Here is a 27,209-nt window from a genome sequence, read left to right on the forward strand (position 1 = left end):
TCCATCATCAACATCACCATCATCATCACCACATCACCATCAACATCATCACCACATCACCATCACCACCAACAACCATCATCAACATCACCATCATCATCACCACATCACCATCACCACCAACAACCATCATCAGCATCACCATCATCATCACCACATCACCATCACCACCGACAACCATCATCAACATCACCATCATCATCACCACATCACCATCATCATCACCATCACATCACCATCACCACCACCATCCATCAACATCGCCATCATCATTGTCACCAAATCACCATCAAAATCATCACCACATCACCATCACCACCACCATCCAACATCAACATCACCATCCTCATCACCACATCACCATCATCATCACCATCACATCACCATCACCACCACCATCCATCATCAACATCACCATCATCGTCATCACCAAATCACCATCATCATCATCACCACATCATCATCATCAACATCACCATCATCACCGCATCACCATCACCACCACCATCCATCATCAACATCACCATCATCATCATCTCACTACCACCATCACCATCTCCATTATCATCATCACCACCACTATCACTATCTCCATCATCATGATCCCTATCACCATCATCATATTATTACCATTACCATCATCACCACCATCATTCTCCATCATCATCATTACCACCACCATCATCAACATCACCATCATCATCAGTGTCATCATCACCACCATCACCATCTCCATCATCATCACCACGATCATCACCATCTCCACTATCATCATCGTGGTCACTATCACCATCATCATCCTTATCATCACCATTACCACCATCATCCATCATCATCACCATCATCATCATCATCACCAAATCACCATCATCATCATCACATCACCATCACCACCACCAACCATCATCAACATCACCATCATCATCACCACATCACCATCATCATCATCATCACTACCACCATCACCACCACCAACCATCATCAACATCACCATCATCACCACATCACCATCATCATCATCATCACTACCACCATCACCATCTCCATTATCATCACCACCACTATCAGTATCTCCATCATCATCATGATCACTATCACCATCATCATATGATTACCATTACCTTCATCATTCTCCAACATCATCATCACCACCACCACATCAACATCACCATCTTCATCATCACATCACCATCATCATCAGTGTCATCACCACCATCACCATCTTCATCATCATCATCATGATCACTATCACCATCATCATATTATTACTATTACCATCACTACCATCATTCTCCAACATCACCATCATCATCACCACCATTGTCATCAACATAACCATCAGCAGCAGCATCACCATCATCATCACCACCATCATCATCATCACTACCACCATCACCATCATCACCGCCACCATCACCAATCACCATCATTATTATTACTGTACCACCCAGGTGCAGACAGTGTGTCCTGGATCCCAGCCCCTGCAGCCTCCATCCTAGCTGCCATCGTCAGGTCCCCTTAGTCAGGAAACACCCAGGAAGTGAGTTTTCCCATAAGCTAACTGCCCTGCCTAATCCTTTGGACTCTTAGTGGAAAAGGTTCTAAAATCATGTGTCCATTTCCCTGCCTTATTAAAGACTGTATCAATTTAAAATGGCTTTTGCTTTGATCATTAGGGGTCCTGGGAGGCCTTGGGGCCGTCTTGCTTAATTCTACCGAGACCTTGGGTGGGAGATCAGGGATCCCTTGCTGGGCACTGGGGGGATCCAAAACTCCCTGCAGGACTGGTTGCCCCTCACGCCACCTCCTTCCTGTGATCCAATCCTGAAATTCATCCAGGAGAGTTCTTTTCCCTGGCTTCTGCTTTTGATCCCTGAGGAGATGCAACCCTTCCTTTAAAAGTTCCTACATTCCACTGTAGGTCAATTACACTGTAACCTGAATTGGGGCCCTTTCAGAGAGGGCCGGAGAACTTATTGCTTAAGCTGGAAGGGTGGAGGGAGGAAGCACGGGGAGGAGGAAGCCAGGGGCAAACCCGGACCAGCCCGTGCATGTGCCAAGGGCTGGCCCAGGATGTCGGCAGTCACCAGCAGGAGTTTGGCTGCACATGGGCCCCAGCCAGAGACCTGGAGGCTGTTCTGCTATCAACTTTTAATTAAGGAAAGTCCTCTAGTGCCATTGAACTTTGTCCTGAAAGTGGAAGGCAGGGGTGCCTTGCTGGTTGGTTCATCCAGTTTGTTCTCTGAGCCTGGCACTGCCCTGTTCACCAAGGCCAAGGTCCTGTCAGCCTCCTGCTGTGTCAGCACAGACCCTGCCTGGGACCCCTGCTTCCCCAGGTGGGTTTGAAGGGCCTCACCTCTGCTCTCCATCACCCCCCACCGCAGAGGGAAAATCAGTGTTATCATGCGAGGATGGGGATAGGGTACGGAGACTGGAGAGAGCCTGGGAGTCAGAATCCAAGCCTGGCCTCCCCCATGAACCAGCTGGGTGATGTCAGGAGGCTCCTTAACCACTCTGAGCCTCAGTTGCCTCAAGATGGGCAGCCTTTCTGTGTCGCCGGAGGTTGTGAGGATTAAAGGTGGTGTATCTGTAAGGTGTAAGGTGTCCCTCCCAGAGCCAGGCCTGTGCATGCTCTGCAACAATCTGTGCCCAACTGCCTTCACCTTCATGGAAAACAAAGTGTCTTAGTCCATTGGGCTGCTATAGCAAAATGACATAAACTAGGCAGCTTTCAAACCAAACTTTATTTCCCACAGTTATGGAAGCAGCGAGTCCAAGATCAAGGTCCCAGTAGACTTAGTGTCTGCTGAGGGCTTTCTGGTTCATGGATAACCATCTTCTCACTGCGTCCTCACAGGGTGGAAGGGGCAAGGGATATCTCTCAGGCCTTTTTTCTAAGGCCATTAATCCAGTTTATGAGGATTCTTTTTCTTTACACTTTTTATGGTTTATTTTAGGTTCGGGGTACCTGTGCAGGTTTGTTATGTTGGTAAACTTGTGTCACAGGGGTTTGGCCTACAGATTATTTCATCACTCAGGTACTAAACATAGTACCCAATAACTATTTTTTTCTGATCCTTTCCCTCCTCCCACCTTCTGCCTTCAGGTAGGCCCCAATGTCTGTTGTTCCCCTCTTTGTGCCCATGTGTTCTTGTTATTTTAGCTCCCAATTATAAGTGAGAACATGCAGTAGTTGGTTTTCTGTTCCTGTGTTAGTCTGCTTAGGAAATGGCCTCCAGCTCTATCCATGTTGCTGCAAAGGACATGATCTTGCTCTTTTTTTATGGCTGCATAGTATTCCACGGTGCATATGTATCACATTTTCTTTATCCAGTCTATAGTTAGTGGACATTTAGATTGATTCTATGTCTTTGCTATTGTGAATAGTGCTGCAGTGAACATATGCATGCGTGTGTCTTTATGGTGGAACAATTTATATTCCTTTGGGTATATATCCAGTAATGAGATTGCTAGGTCGAATGGGAGTTCTGTTATTAGTTCTTTGAGGAATCACCATACTGCTCTCCACAATAGCTGAACTAATTTACACTCCCATCATCAGTGTATAAGTGTCCCCTTTTCTCTGCAACCTCACCAGCATCTGTTACCTTTTGATTTTTTAATAATAGGCATTCTGATTCCTGTGAGATGGTATCTCATTGTGGTTTTGATTTGCATTTCTCTAATGATTAGTGATGTTGAGCATTTTTCATATGCCTATTGGCCGCATGTATGTCTTCTTTTGAAAAGTGTTTGTTCATGTCCTTTTGCCTATGTTTTAACGGGGTTGTTTGTTTTTAGCTTGTAAATCTGTTTATGTTCCTTATAGATTCTGGATATTAGACCTTTGTCAGAAGCATAGTTTGTAAATATTTTCTCCAATTCTGTGGGTTGTCTGTTTACTCTGTTGACAGTTTCCTTTGCTGCGCAGAAGCTCTTTAGTTTAATTAGATCCCATTTGTCAATTTTGGCTTTTGTTGCACTTGTTTTTGGTGTCTTCATCATGAAAGTTTTGCCAGTTCCTATATCCAGAATGGTATTTTCTAGCTTATCTTCCAGGGTTTTTATGGTTTTAGGTCTTACATTTAAGTCTTTAATCCATCTTGAGTTGATTTTTTTATATGATATAAGGAAGGAGTCCAGTTTCAGTCTTCTATATATGGCTAACCAGTTGTCCCAGCACCATTTATTGAATAAAGAGTTCTTTCCCCATTGCTTGTTTTTGTCAGCTTCGTCAGAGATTAGATGGTTGTAGGTGTGAGGCATTCCCATTCATGTGAGCTCCATCCCCGTGACTCAATCATCTCCCAAACCCCCACCTCCTAATACCATCACCTGGGGGTTTAGGATTTCAACATAGGAATTTGGGGGAAGACACACATGTTCAGACCAGAGCAGAAAGGAAGCTTGCTAAAGACAGAAGGGAAATGGAAGACGAAGATAAAAGGCTGCCAGGGCTGGCCAAGGGCCCAGTCTGATAAGAAACCGCACCTGTGATCCAGCTATCTGTATGGACAGCCACCCCCTTGCCCATCCCTCTCAGCCCCAGCCCAGCCCCAGCTCTTCCAGAAACAGGCAGCCGGCGCCTGAACTCACCAAAGCCTTATGCCTGGCCTGTGTTCTACCAGGAAGCAATGTCTTATTTTAAGCCATATTTGTTTTTCTGGTTCAGAAGGGTTTACTCCTGGACAAGACTCAAGTTCTTGCACTGGGCAAACCTAATGGAGTGGCATGCAGGAACAGGGTTAGCATGCTAAGGATCGATGGAAACTGGGGAAAGAAAAACCTGGCAAAGCACCCTACTTAACCCTCAGAGTGCCAGGGCCCTGCTCCCCAGAACCCCTTGCACCTTTGCAGCTGGGCACACCATGGAGTTTACACAGATTGACAAACCCTCTTGGGCAGTGGGACTATGGTTCCCATTTTAGGGTCAAAGAAACTGAGGCTTTGGAGAGTGAACTGCTGGTCAGCCTGAGGTTTGCCTGTGCTCAGCGGGGCCACAGCTGCTTCCGTGCCATCCAGATAATGGTGTTTCTATGAAGGGAACAGTGGTCCCTGGCTGCCCTAATAAATTACCACTGACCGGGTGGCTTAAAACAGCAGACATTTATGCTCTCACGGTGCAGGAGTCCAGAGATGTCCAAAACCACAGCGCCAGCAGGGCCAGTTCCTTCCAGGAGAGCCTATGCCCGGCCTCCCCGCCTCCGCTGGCTCCTGGCAAGCATTGGTACCCCTTGGCTTGCAGCTATGTCACTCTGATCTCGGCCTGTGTCTTTGCAGGGCCTTCTCCCTGGGTGCCTCTAGTGTGTCTCTCCAGCTATTGCATCTAGGACCACTCTACCGCAGCATGACATCATCGTTTTTTGGGTTTTTTTGGGTTTGTTCTTGTTGTTTTGAGACAGAGTCTCGCTCTGTTGCCCGGGCTGGAGTGCAGTGGCGCCATCTTGGCTCAGTACAAGCTCTGTCTCCTGGGTTCAAGCGATTCTCCTGCCTCAGCCTCCCGTGTAGCTGGGATTACAGGCGTGCACCACCATGCCCGGCTAATTTTTGTATTTTTAGTAGAGATGGGGTTTCACCCTGTTGGCCATGCTGTTCTCAAACTCCTGACCTCAGGTGATCCATCTGCCTCAGCCTCCCAAGGTGTGAAGATTACAGGCATGCATGACCTCATCTTAACAAATTACTTCCATAAAGGCTCAATTTACCTGAGCCAGGAGAGGGCTCTCAGGGCTTCCCTGCAGGTGTCCACCCGACAGGCGGCAGCATGTGGGCCGTGCAGGGAGTAACAGGAGAAAGACACAACACCATGTGCCGAGCTCTGAGCCAAGGGCTGGGAGCTGGGAGCTGCGAGCTGGTCCTGTGCACCTGCCAAACAGACCTTCCAAGCAGACACTGCCAGGCGTTATACATGACTGTGGAAATGGGGCGGTGCCTGAACCCACCCAGGAAGGAAGGGCAGCCCACTCCCCTTGCCCCCATCAGGGAGCCCTGGCAAGTGAGCTGTGGTGTTGGGGAACACGTGGCACCTCGTTTGCACAGCCCAGGATGTGCAGGGATGCTCCCTGGCCAGCTGAGTGGAAAAATAAATTACCTGAGGGGCTGACTCAGGCCGGTCATTTTGCCAGTGAAGCTCTGCTAACGCTCACTGGGCACGGGCCACGATCAATATGCCTCTATTTTTAACTCCAGGATCAGCAGGGTCATTTTCCAGAGAACACGGGCTGTTTATTTAGCTTCCTCTCGACGCGATGCAGAGAGGTCCGCCTGGCCAGCTCTGTCCCGTGCCAAGCCAACCGGCTAACCTCAGCCGTCTGTGCCTTCCTGGGGACAGTCTTTAGACTTTCAGGGGTCAGGTAGAGAGAGGCCAGGTGTCAGGCTGGCTGAGATGGAAGAAAAGTTCCAGGCTTCCCACCTCCAGCCAACTTGGCTTCCACCTGCCAGTTTCATTTTGCAGGCCCCAGACCCACAAGCTCTTGGCTTACTGAGAGGTCCGTGCCCCAACCCCAGCCCAGTCCCAGAGCTCCACCAGGGAAGGACGGACATGTCGACCAGCAATAGTGCTAAGCCTAGTGGCAGCCGCATGTTGAGCTCTGGGCTGCTGCTTCATGCACATTCCCTGCCTCTGACGCAGCAGGATTCTGCTTCTGTCTGTGCCTCTGTGGTCTCATCTGTAGAATGGGCTAATATTGTTGCCTTGGATAGTGGTGAGGATCACATGAAATAACTCATGTTGGGTGCTCAGCTCTGTTTCTGGCCAATGATAAGTACTCAATAGATGTCAGCTGATGCCTTTGTGGTTATTCTTTGCTGAATGCCACAACACCTCAAGCTGAGAGTCAAGCCCAAGGGACTCAGTAGCCTGAGCTGTGCCTCTGCACTGAATTCCTCTACCCCACACTGCCCCGACTCTGTCTCTCTGGATAGAGGCCTCCTTGTTTTTTAGTGCATCAAAATCACTCCCACCAAACAGAGAGGCAGGGAGGTGGGTCAGACGTCCTCCCAGAACACAGGCCCCATATCAAGCTAAGTTCCTCCTGTTTCTTAGGGGCAGAATCCAGTTTACAGAACATGGAACCAGAGTTTGCAGATGGCCTGTCATGTGTACAGCCCTGAGGCAGGAGAAAGGAAATGAGATCTAAGCCTGCCTCTGCCTCAAATGCCCATGTGACTTTGGGCTAGTCACCTCCCTGCCCAGGGCCTCAGTTTCTGCCCCAGCAAAACCATGGCCAAAAGGGTTCATCACTTTAAATAACATGTATCAAGGAGGAGTCTGAGTTCTGGCTCAGAGGGAAAGAGTGCAGTGATTGATTAGTAATGTCTGGCCCAGGTGTAGGCAGGGAAAGATGAGGCACACTTGTTACTTACTTGTCATAGAGCTAAGTGGTAACACCTTATTGGATGAGACCCTGGGGAAGAGGAAAGCTGAGGGAAATCCACTCGGAGAAGGAATTTGCACTGCCAGGCAAGGCCATTCTCAGTGATTTCTGAGGGCCCTCCAGTTCCTGCTTCCCTGGAGACGTCAGGGAGGGAGGTGGCAGAGGGGCGATCAAGGAAATGGAGCAAGGAGGCGGGCCTGACTGCAGGAGGCTCAGCACTGGGGCTCAGTTTTGTTTTGTTTTGTTTTGTTTTTGAGACAGAGTCTTGCTCTGTCACCCAGGCTGGAGTGCAATGGTGCAATCTCGGCTCACTGCAACCTCCACCTCCCAGGTTCAAGCAATTCTCCTGCCTCAGCCTCCCAAGTAGCTGGGATTACAGGTGCCCACCACCACGCCTGGCTAATTTTTTGTATTTTTAGTAGAGACGGGGTTCCTCCATGTTGGCCAGGCTGGTCTCCAACTCCTGACCTCAGGTGATCCATCCGCCTCGGCCACCCAAAGTGCTGGGATTACAGGCGTGAACCACCGTGCCAGGCCAATTAAGGGCCTTCCTGTTACAGACCAAATGTTTGTGTTGTCTCCCCAAAATTCATACATTAAAATCCTAGCCCCCACAGTGATGGTATTAGGAAGTGGGGATTTGGAGCGTTGTTTAGGTTATGAGTGAATACAATTAGTGCCCTTATAAAACCTTATAAAAGAGGCCCAAGAGAGACACCTCAGACCTTCCACCGTGTGAGGACGCAAGCAAGAAGGCACTGTCTAGGAACCAGGAAGGGGCCTCACCAGACACTGAATTGATGGTGCCTTGATCTTGGACTTTCCAGCCTCCAGAACTGGAAATCCATTTCTGTTCTTTATAAACCACCCAGACTATGATATTCTGCTATCACAGCCCAAATGGACTAAGACATGTGAGGTGCAGAATGGATTGAGATGCCACACGGTGGAGAGTGATGGGAGCGGGTGCTGCAGCTGAGGGGAGCAGTACTAGGGAGCCAGCAACCATCCTTGAGAGAGTGCATGGCCCCAGGAAGGTCGGATTGTAGGAAAGATTGCCTGGCAGGGGTGTGCAGGATCCACCAGAGCAGAGAGGTAGGAGGACGGGGGATTGGCCATCACAGATACAGGGAATTTGTTAATGAAGATCTGTCTTATGGCTCTGAAAGTGGAGAAAGGGGCTGAATGCATGGGGTGCCAAGAATAGGTACTCAATAGATGCCAGCTAATGCCTTTGTGGTTATTCTTTGCTGAACGCCACAACTCCTCAAGCCGAGAGTCAAACCCAAGGGACTCAGTAGCCTGGGCTGTGCCTCTGCACTGGGGAGATGGGACTGATTGGTGTGAGGGATCAACAAGCCAGCATCGTCCTCCCCCGGAGGCCCAGTGTGCTTGGCTGTGAGATCAGAGGCCTGGAGGAGACGTTCCTCAGATCCCTGTCACCTCTGTTTGGCTAGGACTGTGGCCTCCCTATGTGCTCCAGAAACTCATCTGGTGTGTAGAACGAGGTGTGCCATCACTGAAAAGGGCCCCCCCTTGTGCTTATTTTTTGCAGATTAACAAACTTTAAGGAGTAGCCCCAACCTCTCCCAGCCCCTCAGGAGGGAAGCAAGGCCACCTGTGTCAGCACTCCTTCTCACCGTCACAGACCATGGCTCCCTCTAACGGTTGCCTGTGACTGGTCGGGAATTTCACAGGCTCTGACCATTCTCACTCACCAGCCGGCCTGGAAGGAAGTCCCATCTAGACACGTGCCCAGGGACTTTGTTTTGGAGATGCCCCTACAACCCTTTTTTTTTTTAAGCATTGAATTTCCTTCCTAACTGCAAACGCTCCCGGTGGTGTAAAATGGGTTGATGTTCTTCACACTCACACCGTCCTGCATGTCTTTACAGTGGTCTCATAAGGTTTTATTTAAAGCAATGGTCAGCCAATTTTTTCTTAAATGGTCAGATAGTATATTCTGCTTTGTGGTCTCTGTTGAAACTACCCAACACTGCCATTGTAGCAGAAAAGCCACCAGAGGCAATATATCGATGAATGCACTGGCTGTGTTCCAATAAAACTTTATTTACAAAAATAGATGGCGGGCCAGATTTGGGCCTATGGACTATAGTTTGCCAACCCCTGGCCTAGATCATCATTTTCAAAACTATAGTTGAAGGTCACCGTTATTTGCTGCCCCACAAAAACAGGATTCTGCCGTCAGATGAGTTCAGGGAACACTGGGTACAACAAAGGTTGATGGGTTTTCCCAGACTGTTTAATATGTTAATCTCACATTGTGAGTCCCCATGATGGGAGTTACTGTGCACATGTTCCTAACGCATTTGACTGTGAGCCCTGATTTCCGAGAGGACCTGGGAACTTTTTTTTCTCCCTACACACCCCTGTTCATGTCTCTCTTGAAACACAGTTTAGGAAAGTTCACTAAAAGAATCTAGGTGGTCACACCCAGGTGCCCTCTGTGGATCCTGTTGGAGGGGAGGACAGGGGCCGTGGCCTGCTCCAGGGTCATGCACATCAACAATCCAGTGGCTTCTCCACAAAGAGAAAGCCGAGGCCCTGGGTCCTCCAGGGAGCCGGGAGCACCAAGGACAAAGCCACGTGTCCCTCCCCGCCAGGCTCTCACAGCAGCTTGCTCGGGAAGACCCCTTGTTCCCAGGGCAAGGGCCAAGCGGTGTGGAGGCTGGGTCCCACAGATGCCACTGGGGAAGGGCTGGCTCACCTGCCCTCCGCCCCTACCGACAGGGTCGCCGGAAAGGACACGTGCATCCAAGCGGCTCCCATATCCGTGGCAATGGATGGCCGTGCCCTGTGGATATGGAGCTGTCTTAGTCTGTTTTGTGCTGCTCTAACAGAAAACCGCAGGCTGGGTAACTTACAATGAGCAGAAATGTATGAATCCCACTGATCTAGAGGGTGGGAAGTCCAAGATGGACAGATGGCCCCATCTGTGAGGGCTTCTTGCTTCATCATCCCATGGAAGGAGGCACTACGTGGCAAGAGAGAGAGCAAGAGGCCCACTCTCTCAATAGTGGCACGAATGCGTGTATGGGGGCACAGCCCTTGTGACCCAGTCACTTCCTATTAAGTCCCCCAAAACTGTTGCATTGGGAATTAAATTTCTAACACATGAGCTTTAGGGGACACATTCAACCCACAGCTGTGGCAAAGGCATTCATACCATCCCCGTGGGAGGCTCTCCCACCACTACCCCTGCTCCAGGGAGCACAGCCTCCCCGCTTTACTGAGTGCAGAAGCCTCAGGCTTATGGAGGGATTGACAGGTGGAAAGGTCTGTCCTCTACATCAAGAGGCCACATTGAGACCTGGGGCAACAGACGGGCAGTGGCTGAGGCCACATGGAGAGGGACGTGCCTGGGGGAGATTGGGCACTTTCTGGTGGCACCAAGGCTGCCCCTCCACCCTCACAGTCCTCCTAGCCCTCATGCCCAAGCCTTTGGACACTTTGACCATTGCATGGTTGCCGTCCCTGGCCTGGCCTGGAGAAGTCTTGCCAGCCTGGCGAGGCTTCCAAGCAGATCTGTGCCACAGCAACAACCGTCACGATGGTGGCATGGATGGAGGGCCCTGGGCATGGCAGCGTGGGCTTGGGGAACCTCATGACAGCCCTCAGGTGCTGTTATTACCTGCCGTTGTGTAGACAGGAAAAGCTCAGAGAGTTCAGGAATGTCCCAAGGTCTCGGCACCTGGAGGTGGCAAGCCAAGAGGTCCATTTGGTTTTGCTCTAAGGTCCACTTTCTTTTCTTTTCTTTTCTTTTTTTTTTTTTTTTTTTTTTTTTGAGATAGAGTCTCACTCTGTCACCCAGACTGAAGTGCAGTGGCACAATCTCGGCTCACTGCAACCTCCGCCTCACAGGTTCAAGTGATTCCCTCACCTCAACCTCCTGAGTAGCTGGCACTACAGGCGCCCACCACCATGCCCGGCTAATTTTTGTATTTTCAGTAGAGACGGGGTTTCACCATGTTGGTCAGGCTGGTCTCGAACTCCTGACCTCAAGCAATCCACCAGCCTCGGCTTCCCCAAGTGCTGGGATTAGAAGCGTGAGCCACCGCGCCCAGCCTTAAAGTCCACTTTCTTAAGTTTCTGGACAGAACTCTAGAAAAATATGTCCTTCTCCTGCGTCACTGGGACAGTTCTGAGATCTGGGTCGTGGCACCCAAGTGACATTCACTGTGAGAAGTGGGGGCTCCATAAACTTGGGGCAGCTCAGCTGAATCCACCCTCTCTCCGGTCAACTCACAACTCACACATGCATTCTGGCCTCTGGCCTGTGCCAGGCACACAGCTAGGAGCTGGGCCTTGCGGACCACAGGGAGCATCCCTGCCCACAGCGGGCTCACAGTCCGAGAGGACACTGGTATGTGAACTGAGGCAGCGGGAAGAGCTCCTGGCCAAGGTCTTTGTGTTCAGACCAGAAGAGGAAGGAGGGCTCCCTCCCCCTGGGGCTGTGGAGGCTGAGGCTCCTGGGGGGTTGTCCACATCTGGACCGTGGGAGCTGTTGGGGGGAATGGGGGCAGGTGGAGAAGAGGAGGAGCTTTCTGGAAGGAAGCCCTGTGAATGAGGGGAACCCAGGGAGGAAGGGGCTCAGATGAAGCAGGTCTGGGGGAGAGGAAGGAAGACAGGTGAGGGGGCTGATGGGAGCCATGATGAGGTCCCAGGGGTAGTGTGCCCCACTTTGGGCATGGAAGACATCATGGAGACCTCAGAGACACACAGCCCTCTTCCCATGAGCCAGGTGGCAGACAGGACACCCGCACATGGAGGAACCACTAACAAGTGCCAAGCCCTCCCACGTTTGGGGACAGCCGTGTCAGAGACTGATAATACTGCTCATTCTCGGTGGCACCAAAGGTCCCTGGGCACCTGGCCCCGAGGCTGGCTGTGCCCAGCACTGTGCAAAATCCCTCCTGTGCTGGTCTTCCTGGATGGGCTGCCGGTCGGAGGGAACTTGGCATTTGACTCTGGCTTTGGAGGGTTTGGTTATCTCCTCCCCAACCAAGATCTCCTCCAACCCGTGCCCATCACAAGCCCATCCTTAGAGGGTTCAGAGTCATATGGTGTGAAACACCCTGTCCTGACTGTGTGACCTCGAGAAGGTCACATGACCTCGCTGGGCCTCAGTTTCCTCATCTGTAAATGGGATAATAATAGAAAATACCCTAAAAGGTTGTTGAGAAAATGGAACGACTGCAGAGCTTAGTAAAGTGCCACCACACATACGTGGTTTTTGATAACTCGGTGCCAGGGGCACTGGGGAGCCATGGGAAGCGTCAGATCAGAAAAGCAGGGCCTGAGGGCCCCCGCCCCTCCTCCCACATCTGCTGGGCACCGTGTTGCGAGAGGACAAGTTTGAGGGGTATCTCTTGGAATCATCCCCTTTCCCTGGCACCAACCAGCTGCAGCCCCAAGATAGGAAGTTTGGTTGTCATTCCAATATGGCTGGAACCCCAGAAACTTTTTCCTGGCAATCATGGCTGCCTCCGAAGGGCCTGCAGCAACGTTCTCTGAATTGCTAAGCAACAGTGTCCGTTCTCTCACATGGAGAAAATTGAAACATTGATTCATCTATTTGTTTTGCAACTAGCACTAGCGGCTTCATTACTCTGTTCCCTGGGGACACCCTCCCACACACTCGAATTGAAAATTAACTCTTTTTACCTAGGAACAGCCACAATGGGTTTTTAATTTGGAGAAAGTACAGAAACAATGGTGGGGCTGGGTGCCAGAAATCAGGAGGCAAAGCTGACCTGTGACCCAGGGGCCCTAGACAAGAGCACCCTCCCTCCACTGGGCCGTGGACAAGCTCTTTGGAGGTGGGACCGGCCAAGAGTGGGCCTTGCGGTCCTTGAGGCCATTAGGGGCAAGTGTTCACACCTGCCACGTGTGGCCTAGGTTTCTGCTCCTCACCGGAGCTTTTGCGGTTCTGGCACTGGGAGGCTGCTAGCATCCTCTTGCTGGGAATTTTCTGGAATGGAAGGAGCACTGTTTCTGGAGTTCAAACAGCTCAGTTCTAGTTTCTAACTCTGTACTGAGGGGCTTTGAGCTCCTCCTTTAAGCCATGTCTCAGTCTCCTCATCAGTCACCAGAGGGCAGGAATGTGTCTGTGTTCCTTGCATGGCTGTTGTAGGGTTTACACAAAGCTGCACAGCCCACAAGGATGGTGTGATGATATTCGTGTGCCGGCGAAGCTCTCTCCGTCTTCTTGTCTCTCTGCTCTTGTTGGCTTTCTGGGGATACGTTCCCCTGGAGGACAGAAGGCAGCATTTGTTGCTTCCGTAACTTTCACATCACGCGTAGGCCAGCAGCAGGAGGAGCTGGCTCTGATCCCTGAGCTGGAGTCTGTGCTCCAGGAGGCTGTCCCCAGCAACGGCAGGGTCCTCTTTAGCTAGGAAACAGCAACAGCCATAAATGATAGCCCACGTGGCGGTTGCTCAGAGAAAGGAGCTCTCTCCTGTCAGTTTGCAGAGAGCTCTCTGTCCTTCTGATAATGCAATGCGTTACTGACCTGATTTCCTAAATCCTCTCCTTCCCCCACTCCTGAGGGCCTCAGTGCCCTGATTCACCCACCCCCTACCCTGCATCCTTGGGTGTGTCCATGAACGAGTCTCCAGCAGGAAGATCTGCCTGGGCTCTGGATTCTCTGGGGTTGGGTTCAGCTGTGAGTGGCAGAAAATCTAAGCCAACAGAGGCTCAATGGATAAAGGTTCTCTTTTCTCTGTAAACAGACACAGTCAAGGGCTAGTGTGGTGACTGCACAATTTCCAAGGGACCCAGGCTCCTTCTAGCTTGTTGCTGTAACATCCACTCCAGCAGCTTCTGGTCCAGTGTGGCTGCTCTAACTCCAGCCATCGTGTCTTCATCCCAGCCACTACAAAGGAGAGAGGCACAGCCCCTCCTTTTAAGAACACTTCCTGGAACTCACACATACTACTTTCGCTCACAAACCACTGGCCAAGCAGAGTCACATGGCTAGCTGCAGAGGGAGCTGGGAAGTGTCACACAGCTGTCCAGGCAGCTGTGCACCCAGGAGACTGGGGACTGAGGAACCAGAAGGAAATGGGCCCTGGGCACAATAGCAGCCTCTCGGTGGGTTTCATGGCTGTAACCCAGACCTTACCCTGGCCCGTCCTCTCTCAGCACAGTATCACCTGTCTGTCTGCCCCTAGCTGCTGGGTGTAAAAGAGCCCTCTTCTCCAAGTGTGGTCTCCTTGGCCTGGAGTGCACACGCTCCAGAACCTTCCAGTGGCCATCAGCTAAGAAGGACCAGAAGGTGAGGCTGAGGACTGGGCACATCCCAGTGGTGAGGCAGCGCCCTGTCTTTATCAGCAGGGAGCAGGGGGCGTTAGCAGGGGGCCTAAAGGGGATCCCTTCCCCAACCTGCCCATCATCCTGGGGAAGAGAAGACTCAGTTCCACATTGCATGGGGGTGTGTGGAAGGAGGGAGGAGCCAAGCAGAGGCCCAGGTGTGTGGAAGGGGTGCAGAGACTGAACCAGGCCTGTCCTGGGAAGCCGAGAAGATCAGCCCCCTACACGATGGGAAGTAAGGCAGCCTGAGGATGCCGGACACACTGTGGGCTGCAGGGTACTCTGAGCTCTAGGAAGCAGAGCTGGGGCCAGCAGGTGGGGGCTGCAGGATTTTGGCTCAATGAAAGGAAGGTGTGACTAACTGCTGGGGCTGTCCTCTGGTGGACCGGGCTGCACCAGAAGAGAGCTAGATGTGAGCAGGCAGAGGCTGGCCCTGCATGGAACGAGGTGTGGGGTAGGACCCAGCAGTCTTCCCCTGTGTGGAACCTGCTCTGAGCATTTCTGCCAGGACAAAAGCCACATCCCAGAGCTTATCCCTGACACTCTCTGCCGCCTCTGGGGGGCAGTGACCAGACTCTGAGGGTCGTCTGGAGGCTCTGTCCCGTCCCAAGTCCACTCTGATCCACAAGGTCTGCCCTGGTGCCCAGACCTGCACAGGTGCACAGGAAGACACAGGGGGGTTCAACTCCACACGGTGAGTGGGTGTCCAGCCACTTAGAAGGTGCCGTCTCCCGGGAGGTAGACCCAGATCACTGTCCTCACCCTAGGGATCAATAGTCTGAGGTTGGCCACGTGAGAGTGGCATCAGATCTGGGCTCTGGGAAGCTCCCCTGGGACCCTGAGCTCTGACGGGTGCTCTTGCATCCCCAAAGATGAGCTGGGATGGAGAATGGGGCGTCCATGGCATTCTGCTCAGAGAGGGGGTGTCACGGACATTCTGATAAACCCTTAGGGTGGGGACTCTGCTAGAGGAATCATATAACACTTTCTTTCTTTGTGCCACAATTCTGTATTGTTAAAGAAAAACTTTATTCATGATGCTTGTTAAAGATGATAAGGCAGACGTTATTCCAGGGGCGCCATGACTGTAGGTTCAGGGACCACCATGGGGTCTTACAGTAGGGGAGAGAGATCAGGCTGAACTCTGACTCCAGCAAGGAGAAGTGGGGATTTATCAGCAAGGAGCAGGGGGCATCAGGGGACGGAAGCTGACTGAGAGGATGGCCAAGGGTCGGGGGCTTCCGGCTGAACTGTCTCGCTCGGATTAGGCCTGCAGGCAGGCCAGGAGGAGATGATGTGGAGGGTGGTCAGATACTAAGGTGGGGGTTTCTGCTAAGCTGACGGCAGGATTGTGGCTCACACTGGATTCTCCCACGACAGAGAGGGAAGCCCGAGTTTGGGCCGAGTCAAGCAGAGGACTCAGTAGACCCTAACTAAAGTTTTAGTCAAAGGAAGGAATCTTTGTCAGAATTAAGTACCCGCTCTGGGGTAGACACCACTGGATGCTGGGTATGCAGCAGAGAACAGAAGAACAGGGGTTCTGCCCCCATGGGGTTTATATTTCATGTAAGCAGATAAATAACTGGAGAGAGGTGCACAGCCCCTCATCTGAAACCCCTAAGGCCAGGTGTACTTAGCTAGACCAGAGGTCCTCACATGGGGCAATCTGGCAGTGTCTGGAGATGCTATCGGTTGTCACAGCTGAGGGTGGGGCTGCTAGTGGCATCTGGTGGGTGGAGGCCGGGGACACTGTAAACATCCTGCAATGCACCGGACAGCCCCCACGGTGGAGTTATCCGGCCTACGACGCCAGTACTCGTGCCGAGGCTTAGAAACGTGGCTTGAGACTTCAGACTTTGCATTTTAGAAACAGAATATGGTACATAGACCATATATTATGTAATGTCCCCGGCGGGATGTGGAGTAGCACCCCATAATCAGATGCATTAATATTTCTGCAGCAAAATTTATGAATATTCACACAAAGAGGGATGAACTGAGACTATAAGTAGCCTCACATCAGTTCAGGTCACGTTTTGCCACCAAATGAGTTATGAACAAGCTGTGGCTTTTAGAGCTTTATGGATTTTGGAATTGGATTGTGGGCCTGTAATATAATTTAAGATAGTGATAAATGCAGTAACGACAGCCAGGCAGAGTAAAGGAAGGGGTACGGGAGGGTTGCGGATAGAGTAGCCAAGAAGAGGCCTCTGCGGAGGGGCACCTGGCAGAGCCCTGAGAGCGGTGGGATGGGCTGGGAGCAGATCTAGGGAATGGCAGTCCTAACAGAGGGAAGAGTATGTGCAAAGGCCCTGGGGTGGACATAAGCTTGAAGTCTCTGAAAAACAGCCAGGAGCCCAGCCTACTCCAGTGGGTTCCCATAGGAGTGACGAGGCTACAGAGGTGACCAGGACCAGATGGGTCCAGCCCATGGGCATTGTAAGGACTTGGGGTTTCACCGTGAGTGTGGAGGGGAGCCAGTGAAAGAACGTGAACATGGGATCACGCTGGCTACTGGTGCAGAGGGCAAGGGCAGGAGGCTGCAGGAGGACAATGGGCCATGGGAGGACAAGAATAGGTAGCCTCAAGGGGCAGGAGGGGAATGGCCAGGATGCGGGGTGCCCAGTTCATACATCCTAGAGGGGGGCTCTCTTGTGGACAGACAGGCCAGAGACACGGCTCATCTGTCCCTCATCCACCTCCAGCTTCCTGCTGCGGGGCCTTAGTAGACTCAGCCCCCACCTCCCCTGCCTCCCACCTCCCCTCTCGATGCGGCTTTCATTATGTAAACCTGTCTGGTTCCCAGCTGGGCTGAGCCTTCCTCTCTGTGTCCCCCAGGACCCTGGGTCCAGCTCCTCACATGCACTCACAGGGCAGGGACAAGTTTGCGGTAGAAATCCCCAAGATTGTGGGAAAAGGCTGGGGTAGCCAGGGCAGTTCCCAAACAGACAAGGTGGTGAGAACAAGCTGGAATGAGAACCAGAGGAGCCTGGAGGAGGAGGAAGGCGCCCACTCCCAGCCAGGCTCCACTCCCAGCCAGGCACCTGGCTGCATCCATCCCTCAGGGCCCCGGGCACCCTCCAGTGTGGGCGGCCCCTCCCTGCAGCTGCATCTCAGGGCCCAGCGGTGGGGATCCGCACTTGAGTTTAAGCCTCGAGGGCTGGCTGTGGACGCACTCTGAAGACGAAAGTCCAGAAATTAGGGAAATGTCCTTGGCTCAAATGTCGGAGTCCTCCCCGTTATCGCAGAAGGCGCCTTATCTGCGCTCCCCAGAGGCCCGAGATAAAGCCCATGCTGCAAGCCAAGGGCACTCTTCAGCCTCCAGCCTGGAGTTCTAAACCCTGCAGCCACACCGAACCTCCTGGCAGCTTCCAAACAATACTGACACCTAGGCGTGACTTGGGCGCCCAGGCCAGGCTGTGAAGCCCTGCTCCAGGGCCCAGGCCTAACTGGCACCACCCCGTCCCCATGGGCCTGCAGCCTCCCTCCTGCCCCAGCACTCCTCTGCCCTCAGCTCACCAGCTGGGCAACAATACCTGGAAAGGGTAGAAGCATACCCCCGCCTGGGCACACCAGCCGACACGGTCTCCTCCTGGTCCCACTGGGTCCTCACCACATCAGGGATCAGGGGTGGGGGACTGTCGACAGCCCTGAGATGTGACCAGGAAGATAGGAGGGGCTCAGAGGGGCCCCATGCTGTGCAGGGGTCATGTGGCTCCCACGGTGGCTGCGGTGGAACTGAGGTGCCCCTTGCTGTGGGGCGGGCAGAGAAGCACAATAGCAGTGTGGATGGGGACGTCCCCACCTTGTGGCTAGGGGAGGGGTTGTGCCACTCAAGAGGGGTTGGTGGACTCAAAGTAGCCCAGATACACCAGGGCAGGGGTCTGTGATGTCCCCAACCACCCCCGCCCCCATGACCACCTGCACCCACCACCAGCTCCCCCAGAAGGGGAGGGGTTTCAATGCCTAGAATTGTTCCTATTCCCCAGTCATTCTATCTGTCTGTCTGCACGCCTTCCCTTCCCCACTCCCATCCCAGACCAGGTGAGAGGGAAGAGGCCTCTGTGGCAGGAGGTGGGGGGCCCACACAGCCGCCACGAAGAATTCATAGCCTATTGGAGTTGAGCCCATCCACCCGCCGCCCCTGCAGGCGGCCCTGCTGTGCCTGGCAGAGCCCTGGCCAGACAGATACCCCCACCCTAGACCCCCACCCTTTCCCCACTTCTGGAAAGGGTGAATCTTTCCTTCCTAAAGGGCTTTGCTCACAGATCCATCTAAACCCAATTACCGGGAGTGTGGGGCCTGCGTCTGCGGTGAGTCGGCAGCACGCCCTCCACTCTAACCGCCCGTGATTTCAGCGCTGAATATCTTTCAGAGTTATTTAAGAGGTTCTTCCCTTTTTTCCCATTTTGATGATATGTTTCTAAATTATACATTAAACTTATCAGGGTGAGTAATACCTCGCAGCTTCCCCATGTCAGGCCTAATGTTACTTACTCGTCTGCTGCCTTGTGTTTACATGGTTGAGGGGGATATGCTCCTTTCAGATCCATTTATCTTCATCTGAAGTGTTTAGAGATGAGAACCTCAGATGGGTTGCAGACACCTGGGCTCCCCCGAGCGCCCAGCTTCTGCAGGAACCTCTCCTCCTGCAACCAGGGTCTGCAGTGTCATGTCTCAGGCTGGCAGGAACCTGGAGGCACCCCTTCCCCATGGGAGGGTCATGGGGAACAGAGAAGCCCCCAGAGAGAGCAGACCTGAGAGGTCAGGCTCAGAGATGAAATGGCTTTTCCTGGAAGGAAACGTAAAGCACCGGGTACCTCCCCAGAACCCGCCTCCCTCGGCCCAGATGGCAGCTGTAGCTTCTGGGAGAACAGGTCCTTGATCCCCTATCGGTGCCTGGCCCTGGCCATTCATTCCTCGTTCAAGTGCGTGTGGCAGCCTCCACCGTGCAGGTGGGCACTGGGCTGGCCTGGCAGTGGCCCAGGGTGCTGTTCTGGGTCACTGGGGCTATGGGACTAGACCCCAGGGCTGGGATCCCACAGAAAGTCACAGGCCCTGCCCATTGGCAAGGTCTCTCTCTGCCTCTCAGCCAGGAAAATCCCTACCCCAGGACAAGCTCCTGTGGCCAGACAACCCCCGCCCCAGTTCTCACTGCCTCTGACACCCACGCTGGTGTGGCCCTGCTGGGGACCCCGGGTCTGTCAGGTCTGGTGAGAGGTGGCTCTGCAGTCTGGAGCCCTTTGCTCTGCCACACACAGTCGGGATGGTCCGGGCGGGGGATGGCCCCAGGGGCTCAGGAGGCCCTGGGCTTCGTAATCACACTACACTAACGCCTCTGCAAGCATCGTTTTATCAAAACCCTCACCATTGCCATCACCACCTCCATTTGACAGCTGAGCTGAAGAGCTTGGTGTGCCCAAGGCCACGAAGTGGAGCCCAGGTCTTGCAGACTCCAGACCTTGGACTCTCGGGTCCCATGCAGCTCCAGGCCAGGGCGATCTGAGCAGCCCCAGCCACAGTGGCCCATGTTGTTCCCTCCCTTGCAGGGCAACCCCAGGGCCACGACTGGGCTCCTGGCAGCACGGCCAGATGGACCTCTGCTCTCTGCCAGTGAGGTACCTGCCCCTGGAGCGGGACCAACAGCTCCAGGCAGGAGATTCACCCAAAGGGAAGTGACGGGGCAATTTATCATATCAATAAACTTGCTTAGAGTGCACTCTGTCTTCTGTAATGAAATGGGGATGCAGTCCCACCATGTTATTGGGCACCAGGGCAACCCCGCATCAGGTGCTTATTATTTTCTGCCACGATCAGGGAAGACTGATCGTGCTTGGATAAGTGCAGCTTAAAATTGAAAACCAAGCAATTTACCTTCAATCGCTTCTCAGAATTTTGCGCAGCCAGAAAACCGACTCCCTTTCCATTTTAACTGCTTCCATTAGCATTCGTTTCCTCCGTGAGAAGAGGGCTTAGCTGGGAAGGGAATTGTAGTGCCATCACATTTCCCCCTTCTGGAGAAAGACGCTTGCCCCAGGCTCCTCTTTCTTGAGGGCCGACAGGGTCAGGGTGTTGTGGTCCCTCCCCTTCCTCCTGGCAGAGCCAGGCCTTTACTGGGCACTGGGCTGGGCATTGTGCCTGTCCTCAGGTCTACCAAGGAGAGGGTGCCCAAGTAGGGGTGGGTGTTGCCCTCTTCCTGGGGGCTCTACACACCCCGGCCGCTGTGGCAGGGTTCCCCACATGTCCCCTGCATTTGTTCAGGTGTTGAGGAGCAGATGTCCTCAAGTCAATTTTCCTGTGACATTTTCGTGTCATTTCCAAGTGAAGGAGGACAGCTTGACTGTGGGATGCTTGGGGACCCAGGGGAGGCAAATCCTCTTGGTGAGAGCAGTCAGCGCTTGTGGCTTGACGGCTTGACGCATGGTGTCCGTCATTCTGTGCAGGCCTGCAGTTCTGACCAGCAGTGGTTGTCTCCGCTGGCTCCAGATATCCTTCCCTCGACCTCTGTCGCTCAGCATCTGCGGGGTAAATCCTGCAAGGTTTGCTCCACGTTCTAGGAAAGAAATTCTCTACTCTAGTGATATTGACAGGGAGGCTGGATGAGGCCTCTGGACAGACCCCCAAAGCCCTTGCCTCGATGTTCCTTTTATCCCAGGAATAATAAGAGGAGGGTTTTCTCAGATGCAAATCATCCTCCACTTGTAAATTTCACAGTTACCTCCCGAGGCCCCTCCATCAATGCTGCCAAGATAAACTGTTGTGATAGCCTCAAACCCCGGCTGCCCTTCTGGCTGTGTGGCTTCAGCCCTGGCCTCCTCTTGTTTGATCAGCCTCCCTCTTGCTGGCTGCACAAGGCGGGGTTGTGTGCAGATGGGATTTTAAAGCCCTTTGCACACCCTGGCTTGGTACGATCGCATGGAGCTTGCCCCTGAAAGAAGAACTTGAGGGCCAGGCCCTGAGTTTGGATCCTTTTCCTGGAAGTCTCCGCCCTGAACTTCAACATTGCCTATTTGCCCGTACAGGGTGTCCCAGGGCTAGCATCTCCCTAAGGCAGGGGTGAGGACATAAGCCCCCAACACGGCCCTCACAATCAAGGCAGCTCTAGGAGGATTCATGCACAGCTCCGAGTCATCAAGGCCCTGCTGCTGCTATGAGTCCCTGGCCAGGGCTGATCCTGAGCCTCTTACGTGGAAGCAGTGAGATAAAGGGAAGGAAAATTTCAGGCAGATAGAGCAGCACATTCCACAGGGTCAGAGCAGGTGTGGGCCCTGGTGGGGGCAGTTTGGATGAGTACTGGGACCCTGTACTCATCTACCCACCACAATATAACCAGGCCCCGCTGGCTCTTCAGGATTAAGGGCCAGGGAACCTGCAGTGGCCCCTTGGGCTGGCATCTCTGATTTGAGACAGTCTGGCTTTGCTGCCTGCACCTTGGAGGGTGGTTCATGAGGGCTACAGCTGGAGGTGCCCCCACCCACTAGCATACTTGGGGTGGGCGGTTGGCTGACAGCCAGCCAGCATTCCAACTCCCTCCCCTCCACCAGACAGCGCTAATTTTGGGGAGAACCTTAGAGGTGTCCCAAAGCACAGCCCTGGTCACTTTATGGTCCTGCTTTCAAAAGGACCGGCACCTTTGCCCACCCTCAGAGAGACTGGGCAGTGGGTGTCAGACTCTGGCAGCATCAGAGAAGAGCCCAGAGAGAGAGGGGAGTTTCCCCAGAGCTGACGGCAGGGCTTTTCCAGGAGGCCGTCTGAGAATCAGGATCACCAGACAAAACCTCTCTAATTATTTTTAAGTATATTTTTACTTTCACATTTGCTCTTGTTTTTATCGTCATATATACTGTACCTACAGAAAAGTGCACGGAACAGATAGGACTGGTGATTCCGTGATTATCAAGTGTGTGACCACAACCCAGGACCAGAAACTGACACTGGGTTCTCTGCGGTCTGCCATTTCCCCCATAATGGGAAGAGTAACCTGGGACTAGACCCTCACTCCGAAACTGAAGTATTTCTGTGCAGTTCCCGGGCGCTGCAGCAAACCCTAACCCACCATTGATTCTTGTTCCTTCCTGGTCTCTGAGAAAGGACCGATCCAAAGATGACAGGATTCAAAAGAGATTAATTTGTTATTTTAGACCTTTAGAAAGTGCAGTTGCACAAAATCGGAGGCCCTGGGTCATAACGAAGTTCAGATCAATTAAAACAATTTACTTTGCTGCTAATGATTTCAGACCATTGTAATTTATTGGTAAGTAAATGACTTCAAAAGCCCATTCCTTTGTGGTTGCACAGAGGGAATTTTAACAAGTTCTTGGATAAATTAAGTCTGGAATTTGTTAACAGACTGTTACTGTAAAACATTGAAACTAGGCCTTTGCACACTGCTCCAAGGCCTCAAAGTTTCCAGGAATAATTAAAACTTCTAATCAGTTCTTCATTGTTTAAGCAAATCAAATGGCAAGAAAGGGCTTGTGATAACAAGAGGGAAACCCTCCCATTTGGAGGGTCAGTGGCCACTAGAATCCCTCCCGTGACTCCTGTTCTCAGGGTGAAATCCAAGTTACCACTCTGGCCAGAATGCGCCCTGCACTGTTTGGTTCCCACCTGCCCCGCGGGTCTCAGTTTGGATCTCTCTGCCCATGGTCCACCGTGCTCAGGCCACGCTGGCTCCTTTCCTTCCTGCAAACAAGCCAAGCTCACAGCTTTTCCCTGGCAGCTCCCTCTGCCCGCCACGCCTCCCTAGACTTGTGTGGCTGCCTGGATTTCACAGTTTGTTTGTTTATTTATGTATTTATTTATTATTTTGAGATGGAGTTTCGCTCTTGTCACCCAGGCTAGAGTGCAATGGCGGGATCTCAGCTCACTGCAACCTCCGCCTTGTGGGTTCAAGTGATTCTCCTGCCTCAGCCTCCTAAGTAGCTGGGATTACAGGTGCATGCCACCATACCTAGCTAATTTTTATATTTTTAGTAGAGATGGGGTTTCATCATGTTGGCCAGGCTGGTCTCGAACTCCTGACCTCAGATGATCTGCCCGCCTCAACCTCCCAAAGTGCTAGGATTACAGGCATGAGCCACCGCACCCAGCCACTTTTCACAGTTTAGATCTCAGCTCAGTGGCCCTCTTTGAAGGCCCCTTCCCCAACCACGCCCATCACTGTCCTTGCCATCACTGTCCTTCCCCTTTGTGCTAGCTCACCGGACTGGCAGCAGACAGCATCTGGTCACATCTCTCTCGCCAGTGCGCCTCCCCTGCGGCACATTCGGTAGGCTGGGGGTCTGTTGGATCCTGGCACCTTGCAGTAGTGTTGCCCGCTTCCTAACAGGAACAGGACAGATATTCATGGAGTGATTGAATTGGTGATGATTCCAAGCATGAGACATAGGTAGGGTCCTATTGGAATGGGCCAGCACCCTCTGGGGGTCCTCTGATGACCAGGGCAGGGACTCTTAGGGACACAGGGCCGTGGGAAAGACCTGCTGTCCTGCAAGCCACCTACCAGTGCGGAATGAGTGGGGAGTGTCCAGGCGTTGCTGCATGAGTTGCCTCTGGGAGGCTTTGGGTCAGGTCGGAAGCTTGTCTGTGCCCTGAACATAGGACACACAGTGTCCTCATGGAGTCAACCAGCATCTCCTGCATCCTCTACCTTGGAAAATGAGGATTCTCCGAGAGCTCCTCCCCACCCTCACACACCTCAGCCTCTATAACAGTAACAACAGTAATAGCTATGGCCATGTGTTAAACATTAGGGCGGGATCAGGCATCATGACCTCATGAAATGCAATATTGCATTAAACCTCAGCAGGGCCGAGAGGCAGAACTGCTGTTCCAAGGAGGAAACTGATGCTCAGAGGCTTATTAAGGAATGTGTCCAAGTCCCACAGCATCTAGATGGTGGGATTGGGCTTCAGGTGCCTACATCCCAAAAGCCATTATGCCATCCTGCCATCTGAGCCTGTTAAAGCTCCTTCATGCCACTCCACTCTGGGGCAGTGATTTCTCATCCAGGCCTGAAAGCAGCCAGAGATGGCTCGGTAAAGGTCCGGGTTTTGCCAGTCAAGACATTCCAGGGGGAGAAACAGCATATCTTGCACAGTGAATCACCTGGGACAGGTCCTAGGTCTCACTTATGCATTCCTCAAGATTTATTGGAGAGTGTGTGCCAGGCATGATTCTGGGTCTTGGGCATTTGGAGTCCTGGAGTCTCTGCTCTCATAGAGTTGGTGACCCAGTGGGAAGAAGTAGATGATAAGCAAATAAACAAGAAAATGCTATCTAGATGCGTATCTAGATACACATAAGGCCTGTGGGCTTTCCTGATCAAGGGTCGAGGAAGGACTCTGGCCAGGTGAGGTGGCTCATGCCTATAATCCTAGCACTTTTTTTTTTTTTTTTTTGAGACAGAGTCCCACTCTGTCACCCAGGCTGGAGTGCAGTGGCGTGATCTTGGCTCACTACAACCTCTGCCTCCAGGGTTCAAGCGATTCTCCTGCCTCAGCCTCCTGAGTAGCTGGGACTACGAGCATGCACTATCACGCCTGGCTAACTGTTGTATTTTTAGTAAAGACAGGGGTTTCACCATGTTGGCCAGGCTAGTCTCGAACTCCTGACCTCCAGTGATCCACCCGCCTTGGCCTCCCAAACTGTTGAGATTACAGGCGTGAACCACTGTACCTGGCCCCTAACACTAGGAGGCCAAGGCAGGTGGATCACCTGTGGTCAGGAGTTCGAGAGCAGCCTGGCCAACATGGTGAAACCCCGTCTCTACTAAAAATGCAAAAATTAACCTGGCATGGTGGCATGTGCCTGTAATCTCAGCTACTCAGGAGGCTGAGGCAGGAGAATTGCTTGAACCTGGGAGGTGGAGGTTGCAGTGAGCCAAGATCGTACCACTACACTCCAGCCTGGGCAACAGAGTGAGATTCTGTTAAAACAAAAAAGAGAAAGAGAGAGGGAGGGAGGGAGGGACAGAGAGAGAGAGAGAGGAAAGAAGAAAGAAAGAAAGAGAGAAAGAAAGAAAGAAAGAAAGAAGGAAGGAAGGAAAGAAGGAAGGAGAAAGGAAAGAAAGAAAAGACAAGAAAGGAGGGAGGGGAAGGAAGGAAGGAAGGAAGGAAGGAAGGAAGGAAGGAAGAAAGAAAAGAAGGACTGTCAGAGGAGGTGGTATTTGAGCTGCGGCACAGAAGCAGCCTTTTAAGGACCTAGGGGAAGAATGTTCCAGACAGGGGGACCAGCCGGGGTAAAGGCACCAAGGCTGGGAGGAAGGAAAAAGAAAGGAAACAGGGGCAGAGCTGGTGAGCAAAGGGACCCGCAAGCCCTGGGCACAGGGCAGAGTGTGTGGGTTTTATTCAAATCGCAGGGGATGCCTTGGGGCATTTCAAGCAGGGCAGTGACATGATCTGATTGATGTGTTTTAAAAGCTCCCTCTGGCTGCTTTGGGCAACATGGTTGTTTGCAAAGTCTGGGCTGGCGGCCTGCAGAGCTACTGGAAGGCCCTCTCAGGGTCCAGACAAGAGAGGGTGGTGACTGCACCAGGGCAGAGCAGGGTGGGGAGAGGAGGACAGAGGTCTGGGACCTATTTTGAGGCAAGGTTGACAAATATGCTGATGGTTTGGATGTGAAGTTAAGACGAAGAGAGGACTTCAGAGCAACACATGGATTCAGAGCTTGAAGAGCTGCATGGAAGGTTCTTGTCCTCAGAAAGGGAGGCCCAGCGGGGAACAGGCGGGATGAAGAGCTCCCCTCGGGTCATATTGCAGTCGAGGTGCTTGTCGGAGATCTGGGTAGACAGATCCAGCAGGCAGTGAGCACTATGGGTTCGGAATTGGTGAAGTTGGAATGTGATTCAGGAATGAAGGAGTCAAGGGTCAGGCGATGGGGGATCACCCAATAAAAGAGGAGAGGCCTAAGACTGAGCTGGGATACCCCAACATCTTAGGTCATGAGACAGGAAGCGGAGGGTGCTTGGATGGAGCTGATGATGGGGACTCCATAAACTAAGAAGAGGGGTCTTTCAGGATAGGGGTCCTGGGTGGATCTCTAAACAAAGGGGTGCGGTGCGCACTTCGAGGCAGCCCTGGATCATCATATTGATCCAAAAGAGCGCCTGTGTCTCAGATCAAATGTGATCAGCTTTCAGATTATCTGAAGCAAGTTGGCAAACTCAGAGCCAACAAAGTCTGCATTTGAGTAATTTTCATCGTATTTTTGGCAGCTGCAGAGACTCCGAGGCAAGGCAGAGAGCCCTTTAATGGAGCATTGAGAAGCAGTTTTTAAAAATACCTTTTAGAAAGCTATTTCAGTTCTCCCGTCTGTAGCAAAATTAATGTATAAACTTAGTGCCTTAATTTGGTTCTTCTTTAAACGAAGAAGGTGGGAAGCTGTTTCCTCCCGCGGCTCTGCTGAATCTGGAGGCTGATTCTGCTTCAGCACCACGGAGCCCGGACACCGCCGGGGATGCCCTGCACAGGCCAGGCACAGCTCCAGACCCTGGAGGCT

At 52.4% G+C, this 27,209-nt stretch overlaps 1 protein-coding gene across 24 annotated transcripts in view, besides 2 other annotated features; it reads left to right on the forward strand.

Annotated features, from left to right (window-relative positions):
- Positions 1–27,209, forward strand: part of CAMTA1 (calmodulin binding transcription activator 1) — a 984,253-nt gene that overhangs the window by 782,943 nt on the left and 174,101 nt on the right. The window lies entirely within an intron of this gene.
- Positions 15,041–15,540: an enhancer, noted in NCBI's record as "H3K4me1 hESC enhancer chr1:7643497-7643996 (GRCh37/hg19 assembly coordinates)". NCBI's record gives its function as "activates a minimal SCP1, AML or CMV promoter by ChIP-STARR-seq in primed H9 embryonic stem cells {active_cell/tissue: H9 hESC(primed)}" and the evidence as "EXISTENCE:reporter gene assay evidence [ECO:0000049][PMID:30033119]".
- Positions 17,993–18,713: an enhancer, noted in NCBI's record as "H3K4me1 hESC enhancer chr1:7646449-7647169 (GRCh37/hg19 assembly coordinates)". NCBI's record gives its function as "activates a minimal SCP1, AML or CMV promoter by ChIP-STARR-seq in naive H9 embryonic stem cells {active_cell/tissue: H9 hESC(naive)}" and the evidence as "EXISTENCE:reporter gene assay evidence [ECO:0000049][PMID:30033119]".

Source organism: Homo sapiens, chromosome 1 (genome assembly GCF_000001405.40).
Source record: "Homo sapiens chromosome 1, GRCh38.p14 Primary Assembly".
Classification (NCBI taxonomy): Eukaryota; Metazoa; Chordata; class Mammalia; order Primates; family Hominidae; genus Homo; species Homo sapiens.